This window comes from Homo sapiens, chromosome 19 (assembly GCF_000001405.40).
Source record: "Homo sapiens chromosome 19, GRCh38.p14 Primary Assembly".
Taxonomy (NCBI): Eukaryota; Metazoa; Chordata; class Mammalia; order Primates; family Hominidae; genus Homo; species Homo sapiens.
In genome coordinates, this window is record NC_000019.10 from 12604548 (window position 1) to 12610919 (window position 6372).

Here is a 6372-nt window from a genome sequence, read left to right on the forward strand (position 1 = left end):
GCTACTTGAGAGACTGAGGTAGGAGAATCACTTGACCCTGGTAGGCAGAGGCTGCAGTGAGCCAAGATTGTGCCACTGCACTCCAGCCTGGGCAAAAGAGTGAGACTCTATCTCAAAAAAAAAAAAATTAGCCAGGCGTGGTGGTGGGCGCCTGTAATCCCAGCTACTTGGGAAGCTGAGGCAGGAGAATTGCTTGAACCTGGGAGGCAGAGGTTGCAGTGAGCTGAGATCGCGCCATTGCACTCCAGCCTGGGCGACAAGAGCAAAACTCCGTCTCAAAAAAAAAATAATAATAATAATAAATAAAATAAAATATCCTTTGTAGGCTGGGTGCAGTGGTTCACACCTGTAATGCCAGCACTTTGGGAGGCCAAGGCAGATGGATCACTTGAGGTCAGGAGTTCGAGACCAGCCTGGCCAACATGGTGAAACCCCTTCTCTACTAAAAATACAAAAATAGCTGGGCGTGGTGGAGGATGCCTGTCATTCCAGCTACTCGGGAGGCTGAAACACGAGAATCATTTGAACCCTGGAGATGGAGGTTGCAGTGAGCCAAGATCGTGCTGCTACACTCCAGCCTGGCAACAGAGTGAGACCCTGTCTCAAAATAAAGAGTAAACAAATAAATAAATAATAAAATATCCTTTGTAAGACTAGGCACAGTGACTCACTCCTATAATCTCAGTGCTTTGAGAGGAGCGAGGTGGGAGGATCTCTTGAGACCTGGAGGTTGAGACTAGCCTGGACAACAGAGCGAGACCCTAACTTTACAAAAAATAAATAATTAGTTGAGTGTGGTGGCACATGCCTATATTCCTAGCTACTTGCGGGGCTGATGAGGGAGGATCGCTTGATCCCAAGAGTTGAAGGCTGCAATGAGCTATGATCCTGCCACTGCACTCCAGCCTGGGAGACAGAGTGAAACCCTGCTCTATTAAAAAAAAAAAAAACACTTTGTAATAAATGGGTGAATGTAAGTAAAGTGTTTCTGTGAGTTCTGTAGGCTGCTACAGCAAATTAATCAAACCCAAAGAGTGGGTCATGAAAACCCTGATTTACAGCTTGTTGGTCAGAAGCATAGGTCACATCCTGGGACTTACAACTGACATTTGCAGTGAGGGGCATTCTTGTGAGCCGTTAGCTTTTGGTATTGGACTCCGTCTCCAGGTAGATACTGTCACAATTAAATTGAATTATATAGCACACCCAGCTGGTGTCTGCTTGAGAAGTGGTTATTGGTGGACCAGAAGTGAAGTATTCTGTTAAATATTTTGTTAATGGTTTTCCTATCCCTTTAAGAAAAGTGTATTTGAGACCCTCGAATAGGATTTTTTTTTAATTTAATTTTTTTTTTTGAGACAGAGTTTTGCTCTTGTTGCCCAGGCTGGCGTGCAATGATCTTGGCTCACCGCAACCTCCACCTCCCGGGTTCAAGCAATTATCCTGCCTCAGCCTCCCAAGTAGCTGGGATTACAGGCATGTGCCACCACGTCCCGCTAATTTTGTATTTTTAGTAGAAACAGGGTTTCTCCATGTTGGTCAGGCTGGTCTCAAACTCCCGACCTCAGGTGATCCACCCACCTCGGCCTCCCAAAGTGCAGGGATTACAGGCATGAGCCACCGCGCCTGGCCTAAAATAGGATTTTTTTTTTTTTTCATTTTAGAGACAGAGACTCACTCTATTGCCCAAGCTGGAGTGCAGTGGCACAATCATAGGTCATTGTAGCCTCCAACTCTTGGACTCAAGGGATCTCTGCTATGGGACTACAGGCACATGCCACCACCCTGGGTAATTCTTTTTTTTTTTTTTTTTTTGAGACAGGGTCTCTATCTGTTGCCCAGGCTAGAGTGCAGTGGCATGATCTCAGCTCACTGCAACCTCTGCCTCCTGAGTTCAAGCAATTCTTCTGCCTCAGCCTGCTGAGTAGCTGGGACTACAGGTGTGCACCACCATGCCCCGCTAATTTTTTGTATTTTAGTAGAGATGCGGTTTCGCCATGTTGGCCAGGCTGGTCTTGAACTCCTGACCTCAAGTGATTTACCCACCTCAGCCTCCCAAAGTGCTAGGATTACAGGTGTGAGCCACTGCACCTGGCCAATTTTTTTTATTTTTATAGAGACAGGATTTCACTCTGTTGCCCAGGCTTTGATGTCCTTTTATAAAAGGAATCACTGGAAGATTTTTATTTTAATGATCAGCAAAGGCCTAAAAGTCCATGACCATTCACAAGTATCATTTCCATATGGTAGATTTCCAGCACATGTTAGGAAAGAAAAAAAATGAACAGCTTTGTGTTTTACTAAAGAACAAATAAAATCCCATTTTTATTCAATATTTCAATAATTTATGTTTGCACATCACTGTGGTGACTAATGTGATTTCATAATCATTAGTATTTCATTTGATTAGCCCCACCCAATCATACCTCCCATCTTGCAAATGAAAAAAGTTAAGTATGGAGAGCACAAAGTCTTGTCTAAACTCATATGGCTCATAAGTAATAATGAAATTGGCCAGGTGTGGTAGCTCACGCCTACCATCCCAACACTGGGAGGCTGATGTGGGAGGATCACTTGAGTCCAGGAGTTCAAGATCAGCCTGGGCAACATAGCAGGACCCTGTCTCTAAAATTTAAAAAATTTAAATTTTTTTTTTTTTTTGAGGTGGAGTCTCACTCTGTCACCCAGGCTAGAGTGCAGTGGCATGATCTCGGCTCACTGCAACCTCCACCTTCTGGGTTCAAGCAATTCTCCTGCCTCAGCCTCCCAAATAGCTGGGATTACAGATGTGCACAACCACACCTGGCTAAAAAAAGAATTTTTTTAAAATTAGCCAAGCGTGGTGGCGCACACCTAGTCCTAGTTCCAGCTACTAGTCCCAGCTACTAGGGAGCCTGTGAAGTTGAGTCTACAGTGAGCTGTGATCTTGCCACTGCACTCCAGCCTGGGTGACAGAACATAATAGTAATAGTAATACAATATAATAACAGTAATAATAATGGAACTTCTCAGTATTAAAGTCCAAATGTGTGCCACCACATATACTGAGCACTGTCAAAAACTGAAAACTCAGGCCAGGCATAGTGACTCACACCTGTAATCCCTGCACTTTGGGAGGTTGAGGCAGGAGAATTGCTTGAAGCCAGGAGCTTGAGACCAGCCTGGGCAACACAGCAAGATCCCTGTCTCAAAAAAAAAAAAAAGGAACAAACAAGAACAGCATAGCATCTGCAGACAGAGAAGCAGCAGCAAATCAGTGGAGGCCAGGATTGATAGCTTCCCCATTTCGGGTTTTGGTAGACAGGAAGGACGGTGACCCAGACACTGAAAAATACCAGCATGCTGAACTTAAGGATTGGCTTATTGAAAATGTCAGGCAAGTTCCTGGCCAGAAAAGCCACATTGAAGCTCCCATGAGCCAAGGAACCCAGGATTCACAGAACAGTCAATAACCAAATCGTGGTTTTATGTGAAGATGACATATTCAGGCTCAGATTATGTATCCACATGCATGAAGGCTGTAGTCATTCCCCATGAAATTCCTCCCACTTCAGCATCCCAAAGTGTTGGGATTACAGAGTCACTTAGATCAGGGAACTGATAGCAATGACAAAATTAGGTACCCCCGACACTAACCCGTGCCTTATCCGTCTCTTGCATGTTTACCTTGAAGGTCAGAACTGCAGTGATCGTTTTGTCCAAACTATGCAAACAAGTAAACATGACTCCAAATTTGTGGTTTTTGTGTTTTTTTGAGACAGGGTCTCGCTCTGTTGCCCAGGCTAGAGTGCAGTGGCACCATCACAGGTCACCGCAGCCTCAGGTTGAAGCCATCCTCCCGTCTCAGCCTCCCGAGGACCTGGGACTATGCCACCATGCCCAGCTAATTTTTTATCTTTATTTATTTATGTATTTATTTATTTATTTATTTATTTATTTTTGAGACAGAGTTTCACTCTGTTGCCCAGGCTGGAGTACAGTGGCGCGATCTCAGCTCACTGCAACCTCCTCCTCCCAGATTCAAGTGATTCTCATGCCTCAGCCACCCAAGTAGCTGAGATTACAGGTGTGCCTCCCACCATGCCCAGCTAACTTAAAAAATATTTTTAATAGAGATGAGGTTTCAGCATGTTGGCCAGGTTGGAAACCAACTCCTGGCCTCAAGTGATCCACCCACCTTGCCTCCCAAAGTGCTGAGATTACAGGCATGAGCTACTACACCCAGCCATTTTTTTTATTTTTTGTAGAGACAGAGTCTCACTACATTGCCCACACTGGTCTCAAACTCCTGAACTCAAGCAATCCTCCTACCTCAGTCTCCCAAAGTGCCAGGATTACAGGCATGAGCCACTGCACCCAGCCCAAATGTGATATTCCAAAGGATGCAGGTGGCTGTGTTGGGATGGCCAATGAAGGTAAGGGACAATGGAAGTACAGGGTGAGGGCAATGAACAGGACATACCTGAGAGCCTGGTTATTGGCCTTGACTATGGGAGTGCCTTCACAAAGACCCGAAAGACCCCCCCACAAAGAGGTCATAGAAGGACAGACCCAAATGGTCATTATAAACAAGGAAGGTAGCCACGCTGACAGGTAGCGATCTCACTTACAGTTTGAGTCTTGATGCTTTGTCCATGGTGTTCACTGTTCTGCATCTAATTAGAAACAAGAGGATGCATTTTGTGAGTTTCAGCAATTTAGAACTAAACATGACCTTTGACAGCCTTGGAAGCATTGTTCCCCCTGCATCTACCTGTACACACAGAGCTACCAGAAGGGTGGATCATGGGAGTTTTCAAGATTACACTGTCTCCTCTATAATGGGAAAAATGAAATATGTTTCTACTTTAAAAAAAAAATTTAGAGACAGTCTCTCTCTCTCCCAGGCTGGAATGCAGTGGCACAATCTTGGCTCACTGTAACCTCAAACTCTTAGCCTTGAGATCCTTCTGCCTCAGCCTCCGAAGGAGCTAGGACTACAGGTGAACACCATACCCAGCTAATTTTTAAAAATTTTTTGAGAAATGGGGTCTCGCTATGTTGCCCAGGCTGGTTTTGGGCTCTTGGTCTTTCCAAGTTCTGTAGGGACACTTTAGAAAACTTATTTGAGATAAATTTCCTTCCACTTTACAGCAACACGGATGGAACTGGAGGCCATTATCCTAAGTGCGATGATGCAAAAACAGAAAGTCAAAAACTGCATCTTCTTACATATAAGTGGGAGCTAAACAATGGGTAAACATGGACATACAGAATGGAATAATAGACACTGGAGATGCCAATAGGTTGGACAGAGAGGGGGGATGAGGGATGAAATATTACCTATTGGGTACAATATACACTCTTTGGGTGATGGGTGCACTAAAAGCCAGACTTCGCCACTATGAAATATATCCACGTAACACAAGTGCATTTGTAACCATAAATCTACAAAAATAAAAATAAAAATGAAAAGCAATAAAAACATGCTTAAACTAAAAACAAACAAACAAAAAAACAACGAAAACAAACCATTTCCTTCCAGAGTAAAACGCAGTTTACTGAGCACGTCTCATAGATCGTGATTGGTCTGAAGAGTCCCTGTGCCCAGGTTAGGGTTGCAATTTACCACCCGAGCCAAGTGCTCGGGTGTCCTACGGATTGTTTTTTCTTTCTTTCCTTTTTTTTTTTTTCTTGGGATGGGTTCTGGCCATGTTGCCCAGACTGAACTCAAACTCCTGGAGTCAAGCGATCCACCCGCCTCAGCCCACCCACCCCCCGACCTCCCCCACCGCCCCCACCACGCAGTAGCTGGGACTACGGGTGTGCGCCACCAAGCCCTGCCTTGGGGTTCCTTTTCTAAAGTGCCAAATGTGTGGAGGTGGGGAAAAGAAAGGTGGACGCCTCAACGCTGTTATGGTCAAAGATTAAAATGCAACCACACTTTTTATTACACATGATGGGGTAACCGTCTGTTTATAAACAAGGGTCACTATTCCACGAGAGGCCTTACAACATTATGCCAAGCCCCTGGTACCTGGAGGACATCAGACCCTCCTGTTCCTGTGCGGCCTTGACTAGACGACCACTTGCTCTGGACTTGCTCCTCGAGGGGTCGCTCCATCTGGAAACTGAGACTGGAATTCCTGCGCATCCCTGTCCCCGCATCCAGAAACACTGCAGGAAGACTTCCGTGTCCGACCCGAGATCCGGAACAATTTCTGCTTCAACACAATTGTCCACGGAGGGCACCAGTTCCGTCCCACCGGCGGAAGCGAGATCTGCCTAGCTACTAGACCTGCTGCCTAGCTGTCATTCGGACAAAAAGGGGCGGGGCTGTATAATTGTCCAATCAGGGGCGGCGCCGGAAAGGAGGGTACGGCTACGCTGCGC

The 6372-nt window shown here is 45.5% G+C and overlaps 1 protein-coding gene and 1 pseudogene across 1 annotated transcript in view, besides 2 other annotated features; both read right to left on the bottom strand.

Moving 5' to 3' along the window:
• Window positions 1–6266, bottom strand: part of ZNF490 (zinc finger protein 490) — a 34714-nt gene extending 28448 nt beyond the window's left edge. Inside the window, exons 1-2 of the mRNA NM_020714.3 lie at window positions 6017–6266; window positions 4611–4655 (exon numbers count right to left, since the gene is read on the bottom strand). Coding sequence (NP_065765.1) covers window positions 4611–4655; window positions 6017–6133 — 162 coding nt within the window. The 5' untranslated portion in view covers window positions 6134–6266. The remainder of the gene's footprint in view (window positions 1–4610; window positions 4656–6016) is intronic.
• On the bottom strand, window positions 3285–3431 carry VN2R16P (vomeronasal 2 receptor 16 pseudogene; annotated as a pseudogene).
• Window positions 5935–6154: an enhancer, noted in NCBI's record as "active region_14058". NCBI's record gives its function as "activates an Ori minimal core promoter by ATAC-STARR-seq in GM12878 lymphoblastoid cells {active_cell/tissue: GM12878}" and the evidence as "EXISTENCE:reporter gene assay evidence [ECO:0000049][PMID:35858748]".
• Window positions 6285–6344: a silencer, noted in NCBI's record as "silent region_10153". NCBI's record gives its function as "represses an Ori minimal core promoter by ATAC-STARR-seq in GM12878 lymphoblastoid cells {active_cell/tissue: GM12878}" and the evidence as "EXISTENCE:reporter gene assay evidence [ECO:0000049][PMID:35858748]".